The sequence below is a fragment of the Homo sapiens genome, chromosome 15 (genome assembly GCF_000001405.40).
Source record: "Homo sapiens chromosome 15, GRCh38.p14 Primary Assembly".
NCBI classification, from domain to species: domain Eukaryota; kingdom Metazoa; phylum Chordata; class Mammalia; order Primates; family Hominidae; genus Homo; species Homo sapiens.
This window is the reverse complement of record NC_000015.10, coordinates 66,422,356-66,441,322: the sequence shown is the minus strand read 5'-3', so window position 1 is coordinate 66,441,322 and position 18,967 is coordinate 66,422,356. Positions and strand designations below refer to the sequence as shown.

At 44.7% G+C, this 18,967-nt stretch overlaps 1 protein-coding gene across 4 annotated transcripts in view, besides 1 other annotated feature; it reads right to left on the bottom strand.

Moving 5' to 3' along the window:
* The window catches only part of MAP2K1 (mitogen-activated protein kinase kinase 1), a 104,633-nt gene that overhangs the window by 50,222 nt on the left and 35,444 nt on the right, over positions 1-18,967 (bottom strand). For all 4 annotated transcript variants that reach the window (NM_002755.4, XM_017022411.3, XM_011521783.4 and 1 more), the window contains exons 2-3: positions 6,086-6,296; positions 4,431-4,577 (exon numbers count right to left, since the gene is read on the bottom strand). In NM_002755.4, coding sequence (NP_002746.1) covers positions 4,431-4,577; positions 6,086-6,296 — 358 coding nt within the window. The remainder of the gene's footprint in view (positions 1-4,430; positions 4,578-6,085; positions 6,297-18,967) is intronic.
* Positions 12,407-12,906: an enhancer, noted in NCBI's record as "H3K4me1 hESC enhancer chr15:66720755-66721254 (GRCh37/hg19 assembly coordinates)". NCBI's record gives its function as "activates a minimal SCP1, AML or CMV promoter by ChIP-STARR-seq in primed H9 embryonic stem cells {active_cell/tissue: H9 hESC(primed)}" and the evidence as "EXISTENCE:reporter gene assay evidence [ECO:0000049][PMID:30033119]".

Below are 18,967 nucleotides of genomic sequence, written 5' to 3'. Positions count from 1 at the left end.
TTTACACTTCCCCTGGGGGTTGGTAAGAGAAATATCTCTATTAAAAAGGAAAAAACAAACCAGGTGCAGTGGCTCATGCCTGTAATCCCAAATCTTTGGGAGGCCAAGGCAGGAGGATTGCTTGAGGCCAGGAGTTCAAGACCAGCCTGGGCCACGTAGTAGTGAGACTCCATCTCTACAAAAAATAAAAATTAGCTGGACATGGTGATGCACATCTGTTGTCCTCCTGCTACTTGGGAGGCTAAGGCGGGAGGACTGCTTGAGCCCAGAAGCTCAAAGTTATAGTGACCTATGATCATGCCACCACACTCCAGCCTGGGCAACAGAGCAAGACCGTATCTGTAAAATTAATCAGTTAATTTTAAAACAAAAAGGAAACATTGGCTCTCTTCCCTTTAACCTCCACAGAGCTTCAAGCAGAGTATAGTGTGAACGATGGAATTACAAAATGTAAGGGGCATACACCAGTCAGGATTCCCCAGGGTTGCCTGCAACTAACCATACAACTTTCTAATTCTAATTCACTGTTGCCAAGTCCTTGCCTTAAGCTGCTGAAATTGTGCTTATTTTTAGAAGCCAATTATTAACTAAGTCAATGGTGCTTTTGTGAAGGTTTTCTATGGAAGAGACAAATGCTTTATGAAAATAACAGTTCAAAAGCTTTTATTCCTGCACAAGAACCATTAACTCTGGGTCCCTAGTTCTCCGGTTGGCTCAGCTACCAACCTGAGCAGCAATCTACTTCCCCAAAGATAAAAGCATTCCTGTTCTGATCAGAGAGCATCAATTTCCCTCCTTGGGTCTCAAAATTCAGACTGGGCAGTGCACACAGAGCTTATTTCTAGGAAAGATCAGCCCCTGGCTGAGTGCTTTAGAAGACAGGGCTCAACCAATGCTGATGACACAAATTTACTTTAAAACACATTCCCAGGGCCAGGCGTGGTGGCTCACACCTCTAATCCCAGCACTTTGAGAGGCCGAGACAGGCAGATTGCTTGAGCCCAAGAGTTCAAGACCAGCACAGGCAACATAGTGAAACCCCATTTCTTCTAAAAACACAAAAATGAGCCAGGCATAGTGGCATGTGCCTGTAGTCCCAGCTACTCAGGAGGCTGAGGTGGGAAGATCACTTGGGCCCAGGAGGCAGAGGTTGCAGTGAGCTGAGATTGCACCACTGTACTCTAGCATGGGCAACAGTGCAAGACCCTGTCTCAAAAACAAACAAACAAAAACAGAACCCCACGCGCCCCCCAAAATTGATCGGAGAAATGGATATATGGTAAACCAAATATCTCAAAACATAAGTTGTAGAATCTAGGTGGTGGGTGTACGAGTGTACACTTCCTTCAGGTTTTCCTGCATGCTAGAATTTTTTTTTTTTTTTTTTGAGATGGAGTTTTGCTCTTGTCACCCAGGCAGGAGTGCAATGGCGTGGTCTCAGCTCACTGCAACCTCTGCCTCCTGGTTTCAAGTGATTCTCCTGCCTCAGCTTCCTGAGTAGCTGGGATTATAGGCACCTGCCTCCACGCCAGCTAATTTTTGTAATTTTTTTTTTTGAGACTGAGTTTTGCCTTTGTTGTCCAGGCTGGAGTGCAATGACACAATCTCAGCTCACCACAACCTCCACCTTCTGGGTTGAAGTGATTCTCCTGCCTCAGCCTCCCAAGTAGCTGGGATTACAGGCATGTGCCACCACGCCTGGCTAATTTTGCATTTTTAGTAGAGATGGTGTTTCTCCATGCTGGTCAAGCTGGTCTCGAACTCCTGACCTCAGGTGATCTGCCCGCCTTAGCCTCCCAAAGTGCTGGAATCACAGGTGTGAGCTACCGTGTCTGGCCATTTTCGTAATTTTTAATAGAGATGGGTTTTCACCATGTTGGCCAGGCTGGTCTTGAACTCCTGAACTCAGGTGATTCGCTCACTTCAGCCTCCCAAAGTGCTGGAATTACAGGTGTAAGCCACCATGCCCAGCCTGTGAAAATTTTCATAATAAAGTGTTGGGAAAATAATATTCATGACACAAAACTCATGCAAAGACTGTGACAGAGAGAGGACCAAAGACCTTCAGAAGCTGGGATGTGGCTATCGAACAGAGGTCTCTCTACCTGACAACACCTTTGAAAAACTGAAGCTGAGGCAAAGCAGAAGGTCCAAGGGAAGCAGCAGCCCATAGTCAGAATTTTCCATCCAGAGGAAGCCAGGGCAGGGCCTTTCCTGCAACAGGACCTGCTCAGGAATAAGGAAGGGCTGAGAGTGCCCAGAGCTGAAGCAGAAAGCCACTCTGGCTCTCATGGCTGCCTGGTCTTCAGGCCACAGCTGCTTCCTACATGGTCCCATCTAGACGCTCCGGCAGCACCTGAGCCTCTTCACTACCACTGACTGACTATTCTAGCTGCCCTCTGGGTCTATGTACACCCAGGGCCAAAAGGTCCTATGGCAGGCTCCAAGGCCTAACCCTCCCCCATCGAGTCCCAAGCCTGACCAGGTCTTCCCCATCCTGGCCACTCTCATTCAGTCACTCAACACATACCACCTAACAGGTGCCAGACACTGTGCTTGGCCCTTGAAACATTTTCCCCTCCCAGTCTCATGCTCTCCACGATAACTCCAGAGACTTGTGCAGGAACATCTCACTATTTCCAGAGAGCCAAATCCATGGGGGGAAAAACTGACCTGCAGTCACTGGAAATGGGCTAAGAGAATGGGAAACCAACTCCAGTCATTTCCAGTGTCATTTTCTCCTGAAGGAGGAGGAAGGCTTGAAGGAAGGGGAGGACATGGCAAGGGCACAAGAGATGTGATCAACATCTGTAAGTTCAAAGTGAATAAAGAATTCCAGAATAAGGATGCCACCTAGCATCTCAAAAAAGGTCAATGTAAATGAAGAAGCCTCCTAGTATCTCAAAAGAGGTCAATGTAAGAAAAATAAAAAGATTGGTTGGGCACGGTGGCTCATGCCTGTAATCCCAGCACTTTGGGAGGCCGAGGCGGGCAGATCATGAGGTCAGGAGTTCGAGACCAGCCTGGCCAACATGGTGAAACCCCATCTCTAGTAATGATAGAAAAAAATTAGCGGGGCGTGGTGGTGCGCACCTGTAATCCCAGCTACTCTGGAAGCTGAGGCAGGGGAATCACTTGAACCTGGGAGGTGGAGGTTGCAGTGAGCCGACATCGCGCCACTGCACTCCAGCCTGGGTGACAGGGCGAGACTCTGTCTAAAAAAACAAAAAGAAAAAAAAAGAAAGGGGAAAAAAACCCTTCATCACCCTAAAAAATAAAAATAAATTAAAAAAAAAAAAAAAAGAACACAAGAGACCCAAGGGATAAGAAACAGCTCCCTGAGGGGAAGCCAAGACCCAAGCAGAAAATAATCAGCACCCCAGGCCAAGCACTAGGACCAAGCCAGAAATGTTCATATGCTTCCCACAGAGAATGCTCTGCTCTCATTGAGGAAAGAAGGAACAAGCACTTTCTCTAACCTTTAGATGTGCAGAAGACGTTTTTAGGATTTAGGTTCCATATGGCACCCACAAATGTCAGCAGATGCCTATAACAGTGGATGCAGCACTTCGTGATCATTACAATGAAGAGAGGTTCAAAATAATGGAGGCACAAGTAGAGAATCCTCCCAGGAGGGTTCTTCTAAAGTTCATTAAGGCTGCACACCAGGATCCCTATTCTAAAGGTCAGGGCAGGTCTCAAGTATCAGGAATAAAATGGGGTAGGAGCTGAGAGACACAATACTGGACTGAAAGCACAACAGCCACCAAGTGTGCAGACTCACGTCAGCCCTCATCTCTAAGCCATCAGCCCAGGGAGAATAAAGCAAAGACTAATACTTGCAGAATTCCCTAAGTTGCACAGTGTGTTGGAAGACTTATATCTGAAGAAAAGGAGGGACTCCAAGAACATAGTGGTAAAATGATTGGCAGCTAACATGCATATGATTAATTAGCCCATGAATGCCCTCTCTCTCCATTGCCCTCTCCTTCCACTAACGTGCATCATACAGAAACCCAGAGAAACCCTTCAGGCTGCCCTTACAGTAGATTATGTCATCTTTTTAACTCCAGAGCCTTGCACCTAGCATACAGCATTGTACACAAGAAATGGATTTAAACTGTATTTACCAGATTTTACTTACATCACATCTTAGGGTAATCAGAATCAAAAAAACTATGAGAGGTGCTCTAGGTACACCCACCAGGAATACTGCCCACTTCCTTCAAGAGAGGCAAGGACCTAGAAAGGAGGCCTGCCATCTTGTGAATATCCCAAGCTCTACAGTTAGACTTCCCAGATGCCCCAGATAGTGATGTGGATCCCAGGAGCAGCAGGGAGGTAGCTGGTCACCTCCCAGACCAAAGATTAGGCCAGAGCCACCCAACTCTTAAGGCCATTGCTCCAGAGGCTGAGAGGGTGTCACATACCATGTGCTCCATGCAGATACTGATCTCGCCATCGCTGTAGAACGCACCATAGAAGCCCACGATGTACGGAGAGTTGCACTCATGCAGAACCTGCAGCTCCCTTATGATCTGGTTCCGGATTGCGGGTTTGATCTCCAGATGAATTAGCTGGAGAAAGGTGGAAGAAAGAGAGGTTTTATGAAAGAAAGAGGGAGGAAGGGATGAAAGATATAGTCTTGTTAAATGTTTAAGCTCTTTAAGGTAGAGGGAGGAGAAACAGGTTAAGTTGTTACAAACAAGTTTCTGCTCAACCAAGAAATGAGTGTCATTGTACTAAGGCAGGCATTGGCACTGGAGGCTGTTCCAGCTGTGCCTCGGCTCCTGGGAGCCTAGACAGGAACAAAGTTAAGGGAGGGCTTACTCCAAGAGAGGCTTTGGAGCTCAGATATGAAAAGAAATTGACCTTGAGGACTTGGTTCACACTCAAGAGTTGTGAAAGTAGAAGGGTATGAGGAACTCAGGTATGCTAACCTAGGCTGCCCAAAAGATTCTTCCTTGAGCTCAGGAGCCTGATGTGGTTGAGACTAAGCCAAAGTCTAAGGTGCTACCTTATGTCATCCTAACATTTTCCCTTGTTCCAGCTGGGGAGACAAGTGACAGTCACATTAAATAGTTACGTAGTAAGGTTGAACTTCTAAAAAAATCCCACAGACAGCGAGTGTCAGAGAACATGGATGCAGTGGTTACCAGTGTGGGCTGGGGCACCTGGTAAAAGCTAGACAAGAGGTGGACCTAGAAAATGGGCACTGTTTGAAAAGACAGAAGCAACAGCACACAAAAAAATTATGGGCACAGGAGTGAACACCATGTGCAAAAAAACATTGAAGAGCCCAACCTCTCTGGAGCAAGGGGCTGTATTCCAAAAGAGGACCAAGGGTAGATAGGAAAGGGAAGTCCAGCTCTACAAGTACATGCTATGATAGGAGTTCAGATGCTATAATGCAGGAAGATAAAGGGGATTCACTGGCAGGGCTGGAGCACAAGAGGGAAACAACTTGAAATCCTTGTTTTGTGCATCGCTGGGGCTGGGTGAATGAAAGCAGCTTCTCCAGCACTTGATAAGTAATAAACAGGTATCCTGGCATTCCTTCCACAGCACACAGAAGGCTAAAAAAGAGTCACTTATTATTTTCCAGATGGGATGGGGATTAATACACTAACACAGTCATTAGTGTGTTTATCCATAATCTAATATAGATAACAAGCATTCAAAATTCAAACAGCACGGCTGGGCACAGTGGCTCACACCTGTAATCCCAGCACTTTGTGGGGCTGAGGCGGGCGTATCACCTGAGGTCAGGAGTTCGAGATCAGCTTGACCAACATGGAGAAACCCTGTCTCTACTAAAAATACAAAAAAATTAGCCATGCATGGTGGCGCATGCCTGTAATCCCAGCTACTCAGGAGGCTGAGGCAGGAGAATCGTTTGAACCCAGGAGATGGAGGTTGCACACCAGCCTGGGCAACAAGAATGAAACTCCGTCTTAAAAAAAAAAAAAAATTCAAACAGCACAAAAAGGTATTGAGTAAAATCAGTCTTCCTTCTACCCTGGTCCCCAGGCTTCTAAGTACCCTGAGAAATAATCCAATTACCTGTTAATCAAGGCAAACTCACCTTTCTGGCCATGACCAGGCCAGAAGGCTTGTGGGAGACCTTGAACACCACACCGCCATTGCCAGCCCCCAGCTCACTGATCTTCTCAAAGTCGTCATCCTTCAGTTCTCCCACCTTCTGCTTCTGGGTAAGAAAGGCCTCAAGGCGCTTTCGCTGCTGCTCATCAAGCTCTAGCTCCTCCAGCTTCTTCTGCAAGGCCTCCAAGTTGGTCCTGTTCCAAAGTGGGGAGCACAAGTCAATACTGTCACCAGAGAAGTCAACCCAAAGAAGTACTCCTATCATGGAAAGAAAGCTCCAGGTCTGGGGCCAGACAGATAATCAAAGTGGGAGGCTAGAGAGGAGGCCCCCTCCCACTGTGGCTCTGCCCACTTCACTCCAGCCACCCGGGATGACTATCACCAACATGCTTTACCTCTCAGGGCTTCAATTTCCTCATTTATAAAGTGAAAAAATTAGGTCTTTCTCACTCAGTATGCTGCAAGTCAATGAGAGGAACAAAAGAACCTACTAAAATCCAGAATGAGCCACCTTAATTTGCTTTAAAACCCCAGTTTAAAAAGCCCCACTACTGTTGGTTTTATTGTTTTTACCATACGCAAAATAAAATACCCTAAATTCACTAAAATGAAATCAAACCAACTTTAAACTGAATCACAACAGTAGAAATCCTCATTTTCAATGTAATCAGGTCCAGGAACCAGGTTAATCAAAAAAGTCACAGCAAAAAATCATAAAAATTACATATCTAAAATTCTTATTTTTACTCAATGTATATAAATCTGCATTCATTCGCCCATTCTTTAACATAGGGCAAGACTCTTTGAATAAGGGTCCAAAGAGGACCCACTGGTTAAGAGGTCCACATCATCCTTCGCACATGGACCAGAACATAATACATTGTCGACAATTTCCTATTCCTGATTTGTTAAAGCTGGTTAAAGTTATATTGTGATTACTTGCAGAGTAATCACAATATAAAATTCTAGAGTTTTATGATTTCCCCCAATCTTAATGTTCATCTAGTTTGACAGTAATGTGTTTTAGTGACTTGGACTTATAAGTCTTTCCACAGCTTTTAACTAGTGTTCATAGGGGAAAAAAATCACTTCATTTGCAGCTACATTTCATCAGTTTATCTGATACCTAAATACATTACTTAACTACAATACCAGCTACAGCTGAACAAATGGGTTTGGGAACAAGCTGGCTCTTGGTAAGCACATAATTCAGCCAGTGGGTGCTGAAGCGAGTGGGTATGGCAGAGAGCAGCCTGCCTGCAGTGCATTCAGCATGCTGTGGGCATTGCTCAAGAGTGTTTCATCCAGGGAACTGAAAAGTGTTCATCACTCCTGTGAGTTGGTTAACAGGAAGGTGGTAAGAGTTTCCACTGTGTTTCACTGGATTTCATTGGGTTTCAAATTGAAGTCCCGGGAGGTGAAGCATGTCAGTGACAATTGTGTGGGGTGGCTGAAGTGACACAGGTGACAAGATAGGCCTTCATTATACATCATCATGTTGGTGTTCCTGCCAACACACACACCCCAGTTCTGAGCTTAAAAGATAGAGTAAGCATAATCTGCTCTTCCTTCACACCCTCTATCCCAAACCTCTAGAAGACAGGGAAATGAAGACTTAATGCCTCTCCATGTATGAGGAGATCTGACACTGCCTTACAAATAACATCATGCATGGGACCAAAGAAGATGCAAGGCCGAGGTTACTGATTTTCCTCACTGATTTTCCCCCCACCCCACCTGCTGCACACATCAAAGAAAGGCCATGCAAGCACACAGTAGGAAGGCAGCTATCTGCAAGCCAGGAAGAGGGCTCTTGCCAAAACCCAACCATGCTGGCACCCTGCTCTTAGACTTTCAGCCTCCAGAACAGTGGGAAAATAAACTATTGTTGTCTAAGCTACTTAGTCTATGATATGTTATCATAGCAGTCCAAGCAAACTGAGGCAGCTACTCAATATTTTCATCCAAGGTTCGGCTATGTCTTGCAGTGTCCCCAGTCCCTAAGGTGTGGGAACCCAGAACATGTGTGGCTGGGGGTGCACAGTGCACACTCTCTGGTTTCCTTTCTCCAAGGTCTCCCCACAAAGGAGCTTACTGAGGACCACATTTAGAAACACATGTCAAATGTAGATGGACCCCACAGCTAAAACCTGAGTGAGGTTACAGCTGCCTGACAGGCTCAGCAGGCCAGCTAGAAATGCAGATTCGAAAAGCTGTCAACACACACACACACACACACACACACACACACACACACACACTGTGCATGATGGGGGAATGGAAGGAGGGCTGCATGGAAGAAAAACTGCTTTCCTCACAACACTGTGTAACTCTCCTCAGTGCTTTACATTTATTAAGTCATTTAATCCACAACCCCTAATTAGAACAGATGAGCAAACTCAAGCACAGACAGGTGAACTAAGATGTCAAAGGTCAAAGAGCTGGTAAGTGGCACAGCCACGTTTCAAATTCAGGCAGAGAGAACGAATGTCTTACCTTAACCATGATGCTATATTATCTTCAAAAAGCTCAATACTTTCAAGGGAGGCAACTGACAAACATGGGTAAGATCCCAGTGTGAGGCATTTAACACACCAGGCCTCAATCATACATAAAGATGGTGTGCCCTACACAAAAAGGCCTTTGCACCAGAGACAATCCTGTCTCCCCTGCACATCAATCTGATGATGGATCTGCTGGAGCAGATTAACACTGCCTTGCAGCTAATACTCGCCATAGAAATTCAATCAATTTGCAAAGGAAAAGGGAATGCTGACTCTGTTCACTTTTCTGACTCTTTGAAATAAGTAATTCTTACACCTTCTGGAGGAAAAACTAAGCCTGAGCTTTGTGCTTCCTTTCTCCCTCCTCTACCTCCTATGCCTTGCCGTTTAACCACCCACCCTACCAGCTAATGAACTGGCTTCTGACCTGTACTTTCAGAAGCTGGCCAGTGAGAGAAATGACAAAGACTATAGGCTGGGGTGGTAAAGACTTTCCTAATGGCAGGTGTGTATGGATGAGGACTGGAGATGGAATCGTGTTGACAAATCACTAGTATTCAAGAGTCCTGGATTCTTATCACAAATTGTTCATCAACCAGCTGTGTGACCATGGACAAGTCACTTAACCTTGCCACATTTCAGATTTCTCCTCTATATATCATGGAATACTATGCAGACATAAAAAGGAACGAGATCACGTCCTTTGCGGGAACATGGGTGGAGCTGGAGGTCATTATTCTCAGCAAACTAACGCAGGTATACAAAACCAAATACCGCATGTTCTCACTAGTAAGTGGGAACTGAATGGTGAGAACACAGGGGCACAGGGGCGGGAACAACACACACTGGGGCCTGTCAGTGGGGGAGGAGAGAGAGCATCAGGAAGAATAGCTAATAGATGCTGGCCTTAAAACCTAGGTGATGGGATGATCTGTGCAGAAAACTACCATGGCACAGGTCCACCTATGTTAACAAATCTGCACATCCTGCACATGTGCCCCTGAACTTAAAAATAAAAACAACAAAAAAATAAGAATTTCTCTTCTGTAAAATAGAAGTAACAATTCTATGCTTATTTCATTCACTGGGGTGGGTCAAAATAGAAACTAATGGAAGAAGCAAGAAATTTTTGACACATTTCTACACTAATATAGAGGGAGAGGAGTGGAAGTGGAGAAAAGGCAGGAGAGGCCAAGGCAGCAACGGCAGGATCCAGAAACTACTGCCTTTCCTTTAATTATTCTTAAAATACTCAATTTTTTTTTTCAGAGAATGAAAGATGAAACATTTTATCTGAAGGTGAAACAAAGATCCTGTAGTGGCTTTCAGTACTCATTAAAAAGATATCAATAATGAAACAGTATTCAGTATTTCTTCCTCTTGCAGAGGGAGTTGAAGTTCAACAAGGCTAATTTCTGCCTTTCCAAGGTGAAATGTTTTAAGCAAAGGATATAAGACAGAGGGCCCTCACCCAACGACTATATCACCAATCTCTAAAACTCAGAGGGCATGAACCTGTCTCTGTCTCCCTTCACAATCTTTAGTTTTAACTGAAATCAGCAAAACTGACACTGGGGATTTAAAAACTAAACCAAAACAAAACTGGAGCTGCAGCACAATAAATCTGACACACACAGCCCTCTCTCCAGGGACCAGCTGTGATCGGCTCCAACCTCCATCACATTCACCATGGCAGAGTTAGAACCACACACTGTAATGTGAATTCTGCATCATGGCTGTCTAACGGTAAATACAAGTTCATCAAGATAAAAGAAGATTAAAGGTTTGAATGGGAATGCAGAGAAAAACAAGGGTTGTCATTTGCTTTTTGGAAACACCAGTGAGGTGCAAGGAAATGGGTGGGAAAGGATAATCCTATGGGCAAGAACATGTCCTTCCTTTCATCTCACCCATCTGCTAAGCCTAATTACACTGTTGCAACTGGAACCTTTCATTTGTGGCTCAGTGGTTTAAATCAAGCAGCAGCATAAAATGTATCTCAGGGAGGGACCTTGAAGACCAACTTATCCAATTCTCATTTTACAGATGAGAAAACTGAGGCCCAAAGGGACAAGTTCACACAGTTCACTGCTGGCAGGTCTCCTAACTCCTAGGAGAGAGCTCCTTTCTAGGCCCCACACTGCCCTTTTCAACCCTGATGGTCACTGAATTTAGAGGCTGGCCTAAGGAATGACAGGAGGAGGTAGGGGGGTGATATCCAGAAAAAGAAATGGGATCTCCAAACTGCCACACAGCAAACAGAAATAGGCCACAACTGCATGCCACCCAATCTGAGCCTTGCTCTAGCCTCGATGGCAGCCTTGCCTCTGCCAGGAGGGTACACTGCAGGAAGGGAAGAGGATGACAACCAATCACTGTAGGAAGGAGAGGAAGGGTCCCCGTGCAGGTGGGTGTTCTTACCAGAGAGCCCAGGGAGTTGTAAAGTTCTCCTTCCCCTGTGGCATCTGGCAAGCAGGAATGCTACCAGGGTAGGAAACAAGTCAAGTAGCAGGGAAAGAGGAAAGGAGAGGCAAAAGAGACAGACCCAAGGTAAGAGAGACCAGCACCTAGAGATAAAGGCTGCATACAATCCCTTGATCCACACCTTCTACCCCTATTTACCCATCTGTGAGATCTTGGGTAAGTTACCTTCCTTTCTGGTCCTCAGTTCCATATCCATAAGAAAAGTATATGGGAAGGAGGAGAGGAGGGAAGGGAAAAGTTGTCTATCTCTGAGGTTCAAGTCCGTCAATGTGACAGTAATCTGAGGAGGTACAGAATAAGAACGGGGGCGTGTTCAAGTTGAGGGGCTGAGGAGCTTCAATGGACAGGGGGCAATATGAGAACAAAAAGAACTGGCACCATGGGTCTCTGAACAGTCAAACCATGGATGGCTGAGGATTGAGAGTTAGGCGTATAAGGAGTAGTAAGACAGGAAAGGAGAATGGACCTGAAAGAGGAAGGCAGAGAGTGCCAAAAGCACAGCTTACCAACTTCCAGATTCCACCCCAGGCTAGCCCATCTGTGTTGGGGGGGACGGGGGGGGGGGGGGCGCCGCAGTGCAGACCCAGTGGCAAGGGACAGCCCCAGTCAACATCTTGGGGAAGGCGTTCTATACCTTCCCATACCTCAATCCTTCAGGTTACTCTAGGAGAGGCTGTTCAACTACCTATAGGAAATCAAATTCTAGGAATGTGTATATGTGCTCTGTGAAAGAAGCCAGGCACGAAAAGAGTATGTACTATATGATATGGTTTGGCTCTGCGTTCCCACCCAAATCTCATCTTAAATTGTAATCCCCATGTGTTGAGAGAGGGAGGTGATTGAGTCATGGGGGCAGTTTTCCCCACATTGTTCCTGTGACAGTGAGTGAATTCTCATGAGAGCTGATGGTTTTATAAGTGTCTGGCATTTCCCCTACTGGCACTTCTCTCTCTTGCCACCATGTGAAGAAGGTCCTTGCTTCCCCTTTGCCTTATGCCGTGAGTGTATGTTTACTGAGGCCTCCCCAGCCATAAAGAACCGTAATTCAATTAAACCTCTTTACTTTATAAATTACCCAGTCTTGTGCAGTTCTTTATAAACCAGTGTGAAAACAGACTAATACACTATGTCATTCCATCTGTCAAAAATTCAAGGCCAGGCATGCTGGCTCACACCTGTAATCCTAGTACTCTGGGAGGCCGAGGCGGGAGGATCACTTAAGCCCAGTTGTTTGAGACCAGCCTGGCCAACATAGTGAAACCCCATCTCTACAAAAAATAGAAAAATTAGCCAGGCGTGGTGGCGTGTGCTTGTAATCACAGCTACTCAGGAGGCTGAGGTGAGAGAATTACCAGAGCCTGGGAGGCGGAGGTCGCAGTAAGCCAAGATCGCGTCACTGCACTCTAGCCTGGGTGACAATGAGACCCTGTCTCAAAAAAAAAAAAAAAAAAAAAAAAAAGGAAAGAAAATTCAAAAAAGGGCAACACTAATCTTTGCAATTATAAATTAGGAAAGTGATTACCCTTCAGGGGGAAGTAACTAAGAGGGGGTGTGTGATGGTTAATTTTACGTGTCAACTTGGCTGGGCCATGGTGTTTCTGTGAAAATGTTTTTGGTTTTTGTGGGGGTTTTTTGGATGAGATTAACATTTAAATTGGTAAACTTAAAGTGAATTACTCTCCATAATGTGAATGGGCCTCAGCCAATCAGTTGAAAACCTTAAGAGAACAAAGACTGACCTGCCCAAAAGAAGGAATTCTGCTGGTAGCCTGCCTCTGGACTTGAACCGCATGCAACCCTACCCTGGGTCTTCAGCTTGCTGGCTTATCCCTGCAGATTTTAGGCTTACCAGACCTCCATAATCACATGAGCCAATTCCCTAAAATAAACATCAATAACCCTCTCATACACACACACACACACACACACACACACACACACACACACACACACACACACACGCACAACTGCTGTTGGTTCTGTTTCTCTGGTGAACCCTAATATAGGGAAGGAGGGGAATTCCTGGGTGCTAGTAATGCCCTGTTCTTGATCTGAGGGCTGGTTATATGGTGTGTTCGGTTTCTGAGAATTCATCAACTATGCTTTTATGATACATAAAAATGTACCCTGACCCGAACCTGGGAGTCAGGCTATCTGGGTATGAAGCCCTATTTGGCCACTGAATAGCCACGTCAAGTTGGAGAGGTTTCTTTTTTTTGGAGACAGAGTCTTGCCCTGTTGCCTAGGCTGGAATGCAATGGCGCAATCTCGGTTTACTGCAACCTTCACCTCCTGGGTTCAAACGATTCTCCTGCCTCAGCTTTCCAAGTAGCTGGGTTTATGGGTGCCTGCCACCACGCCCGGCTAATTTTTGTATTTTTAGTAGAGACAGGGTTTCACCATGTTGGCCAGGCTGGTCTCTAACTCCTGACTTTGGGATCCGCCAGGCTCAGCGTCCCAAAGTGCTGGGATTACAGGGGTGAGCCACCATGCCTGGCCAGAGAGGTTTCTTAAAAGCCTTAAGCTTCAGGTTTTTCATCAGTAAAATGGGGCTAACAGTAGTAAACACATCTTGGGGTTGTCAGGAGACTAAAGGAGCTCACCCACACTCATCTAGCTCACAGTAGGTGCTCAATAAATACTATCAAATGTTATTATTATTATTTTTTTTTTTGGAGATGGAGTCTTGCTCTGTCACCCAGGCTGGAGTGCAGTGGTGCATCTTGGCTCACTGCAAGCTCCGCCTCCTGGGTTCACACAATTCTCCTGCCTCAGCCTCCTGAGCAACTGGGACTACAGGCGCCCGCCACCACACCCGGCTAATTTTTTGTATTTTTAGTAAAGACGGGGTTTCACTGTGTTGGCCAGGATGGTCTCGATCTCCTGACCTCGTGATCTGCCCGCCTCGGCCTCCTAAAGTGCTGGGATTACAGGCATGAGCCACCACCCCCAGCCCAAATGTTATTCTTTTTAACTAATTAGATTACAGTAGCAAAACAATATTAAATATGCATTTAGCATTTAGATGATTCCAACTTTTAAAAAAATATTTCACTCTCATTTAATTTCTACAACCACTTTTTACTTATTATCACATTTTGACTTAAATTGCCCTTAGCTGTATATACTCCTTTAGTTACTTTACTGAGGGCCTTCTAGTGCCGGAACTTACGCATTCTCAAAGACCTGGGAAGACAAAACAATCAATTTATTCTCAAAGGAAAAACAAAATGAGATCATCGTCAATGGGGTTTATATGCAGGCAAGAAGTAACAACTAGGGCTTCAAACCATATAACACGAGAAGCTAACCACTATGCTTGCAGAAAAGCACAGCCTTGGTATTTACCTGGAGAGTTCTATCCTTGTAACACTACAGAAGGATATGTTAGGATTAGAGAATTTTAGCACTGGACAAAACTTTAAAGTTTTAACTGTAAGAAAAACTACAGAGAAGTGACTTGCACAAGTTCACAGAGTAAGTGACTATTAGAGTTGAACCCAGGTCTTCTGACTCCTAAAGGCTTCACACCTATTTCGCAGGCACAGAGTAGCCACAAGCATGTTTTTCTTCTTTCTAGTAGTTTCACCACAATGTGAAAGACCAGCTCTGCCCTGAGAGTGCCAATGTCCTTTCCCACACTTCTTAGATGCCTTCCTCTTCCTGAACCCCAGAAGAAGAGGGCACCTGAGCAGGAAATCTCAGGTGACTTAGTTTGCCAGTGCCTACTCTACTGAAGAACTAGGTTTTCATTCTTGAGAAGAAACTCATGGAAGGATGTGTTTCCTATCACAGGTATACATGCTAATTTTTTTGTTGAATTTTCTTGTTGCGACTTATGCCAAGTAATTATAAAGGTTTTTTTTTTTTTTGTCTTCTTGATGAATATTTCATGAAGGCTATGAAGTTGGAACAGGCAAGTCCTGGGTGTGAAAATTTTATCTACCTCATTTATTTTTTATTTTTTGTAGCCATAGTGTCTATTTTCCTATTTTAAGATTACTGGGCTGCTCTCTGCCTATGGAGCAGCCATTCTTTTATCCCTTTGCTTTCGTAATAAACTTGCTTTCACTTAAAAAAAAAAAAAAAAGAAAAAACACTTACGTATTCCCAGGCCCCGTCTAAAACCTAAGAGTTGTGATGTATTGGCAGGAAGAGCTGAACGTTCAAGATGGTTTTGTGATGCATTTTCTTCTAATCTCCTTTTGTACATGTAATATTGAGCAAACAAAACACTGCTCTCAGTTTAACAAGAAAGGAGGAAGAAAGATTCTAACTTCTGAGAGAAAAGTCTTTCCCCTCTATGTGGAAGGCCCTGACTGAAATGTGGATCCAAGATTGTTAGCCAAAGTGTTGTCTCTTAATTGTTGCACCTTACTTTAGGATTCCCCTTTTCTTCCCCCCTGCAAGGTGTGCCCTTCCTTCCGGAATTGTAAGTGAACAAAATAGTACCTGTTTACACTATGAAGTGGGATATTGTTACAGAAAACCCACGAGTGGCTTTCTCACTGTTGAACTAATAATGCCTTGTGAATGTATGATCTATGTAGATACCCTTGTAGTTGTACCTGCTGATGCTATCTGTCTGTTGGAAAATAAATTTTGAATGTCCCCTGCCCCACTGCCCGCCATCCCCCACTAAAAAAAAGACCAGCTCTGTCCTGGCCCAGAAGCAGCTGATTTCCTGCATATGTCACTGGCCCTAGAAGTGGGTCTGGAAGCTTCTTTCAGGAACAATGACTATGAGACTTTTCTCACCTACACATCTGTCAGCAAGTGAAGAAGAGTAGGCGGCCAAGATGTGATTTGCACAAGCAGCTAGCGTCAAGGAAGAGGTTAAAAAAAAAAATTCTGCTAAATTGAGTGAAGCACATTAGGAACCATGCAAACGAATAACTGTATTGAAGCACAGCTTCTCCTAGTTGATGAAGAATCTAAGCCTAAAGCTGTGCTCAACACCAACAGAAAGCAAAAGTCTACTAACTGCTGAAGGAGGTATACAAAACTTTCTCCTGCCCAAGACCTGCCGCAGATACAAGGCAAAGTCTGGCTGCCATACACAGGAAGGGAAAGAATGCTGGGAAAACCCCAAACCCAAGGTCTATACTCACAGGGTCTGCTAAAGATGGAGACGGGAGGCTGGGCACAGTGGCTCATGCCTGTAATCCCAGCACTTTAGGAGGCCGAGGCGGGCAGATCACCTAAGGTTGGGAGTTTGAGAACAGCCTGACGAACATGGAGAAACCCTGTCTCTACTAAAAATACAAAATTAGCCGGGCTTGGTGGCACATCCTGTAATCCCAGCTACTCGGGAGGCTGAGGCGGGAGAATCGCTTGAACCCAGGAGGCAGAGGTTGTAGTGAGCCGAGATTGCACCACTGCACTCCAGCCTCAGCAACAAGAGTGAAATTCCATCGCAAAAAAAAAAAAAAAAAAAAAAAGATTGAGATTGGATCAAGACAATGAGAACCTCCCTACCTCTACTTCAAGCCAAGAACCACTAAAAAGCAACTGCAGCTTACCCCTAGGAAAGGGGCAAGAGTGTAGAGAAAGAGTCCCTTTGTGGCAAAGGATTAAGGGACAGTTCAGAGCTGAAGAAGCAGTAGAAAGACTGAGAAAAAAAATAAATGTATGCAACTCAGGCTCCCCGCTAAGTGCAAGATAAAAACCCATTACTGGAGAAATTTGAAGCATGTGATGCATTTAAGTTAATATTAAAAAGAAAGCCCAAACCCAGCTCAAATCTGGCTAACAGCCTAACACAAACTAACAGCATGACAGAAAAGCATGCCCATTTCTGAGGATAAAGACAATTTACCTAATTCTCTGTTCTACCACATAATATCCAAAATTCAATCAAAAATTACAAGACACGGGCTGGACACGGTGGCTCATGCCTGTAATCCCAGCACTTTGGGAGGCCGAGGCAGGCAGATCACTTGAGGTCAGGAGTTCGACATCAGCCTGGCCAACATGGCGAAACCCCACCTCTACTGAAAATATAAAAATTAGCTGGGCATGGTGGCATATGCCTGTAATCTCAGCTACTCAGGAGGCTGAGACAGGAGAGTCATTTGAACCCAGGAGGCAGAGGCTGCAGTGAGCCAAGACAGTACCATTGCACTCCAGCATGGGCAACAAAAGAAAAACTCCACCTCAAAAAAAAAATGCACAAGACATGGCTGGGTGCGGTGGCTCACATCCATAATCTCAGCACTTTGGGAGGCCAAGGCAGGTGGATCACCTGAGGTCAGGAGTTCCAGACCAGCCTGGCTAACATGGTGAAACCCCATCTCTGCTAAAAATAAAACAATCAGCCAGGCATGGGTGGGGCACAGTGGCTCACACCTGTAATCCCAGCACTTTGGGAGGTCAAGGTGGGCAGATCACCTGAGGTTGGGAGTTTGAGACCAGCCTGACCAACATGGTGAAACCCCATCTCTACTAAAAATACAAAATTAGCCGGGCATGGTGGTGCATGCCTGTAATCCCAGCTACTCGGGAGGCTGAGGCAGAAGAAACACTTGAACCTGGGAGGCAGAGGTTGCCGTGAGCCGAGATTGCGCCATTGCACTCCAGCCTGGTCAACAAGAGTGAAACTCCATCTCAAAAAAAAAAAAAAAAAAAATTAGCCTGGCATGGTGGCAGGCACCTGTAATCCCAGCTACTCAGGAGGCTAAGGCAGAAGAATTGCTTAATACCGGGAGGGAGGTTGCAGTGAACCAAGATTGCACCACTGTACTCTAGCCTGGGTGAAAAGAGTGAGACTCTGTTTCAAAAAAAAAAAAAAGGAAAGAAAAACACAAAAATCAAGAAGGGTTGGGAAGTGGGATGGGGGGGAACAACCTTATCAAGAGATAAGCTATAAACAGAACCAGACTCAGATGACCCAGATGTTGGAACTATCAGACAGAGGCCTTAAAATAACTATGATTAATATGTTAAAGGTGACAACATGTATGAACAAATGAGGAATTTCAGCAAAGGTGAAAACTAAAAATAGAATCAAATTAAAATGCTAGAAATTTTAAAAACGTGGCATCAGAGGTCAACAGGCTCATTAGCCGATTACATGGAGCTGAGGGAACAATCAGTGACCCTGAAGATAGGTCGACAGAACTTTTTAAATGGAGGCTGGGCACGGTGGCTCATGCTTGTAATACCAATATTTTGGGAGGCCAAGGCAGGAGGACCACTTGAGGCCCAGAGTTTGAGACCAGCTTGACCACTTGAGGCCCAGACTTTGGGACCAGCTTGTCTCAAAAAAACAAAAAAACAAAAAAGAAATTAACCAAACTAAAGCAAAAAAAAAGAATAAAAGAAATCAGAACAGAGCATCCAAGAGTTGTAGGACAAGATCCAATCGTCTAACATATATGTAGTTGGGGTCTTGGATGAACAAGAGGGAACAGGACAGAAGAAATACTTGAAGAGATAAAGGCCAAGAATTTCCCAAAATTAACAAAAAACAACAAACATCCAGATCGAAAAAACACAGGGCACCCTAAGCAATACTTAAAAAAAGAAAAATCCCACACCTAGACACATCATAGTCAAACTGCTAAAAACCAGAGATAAAAAGTCAACCTTAAAGTCATTTATCTATGTTTCCTTCCAGTGCTTGTTCATATACGTTCATTTTTTTCCCGTCATAGGTACTACAATATAATTCATTTTCACCTAAGAGTGTTTTCTTTGGCTACCTCAGTTTCAGTTTCCCAATCCGTAAAAAAGGAATATCATATTCCACTCAATCCCATGTAGTTATGGTAAAGAATAACAATACAAATGTTCAAGCAACTGTGAAATACTCCACAACAGAAGATATTTTCATGATTATTGCCTTACAGGACATGTAGTCTAAACCCCTGGTTTAG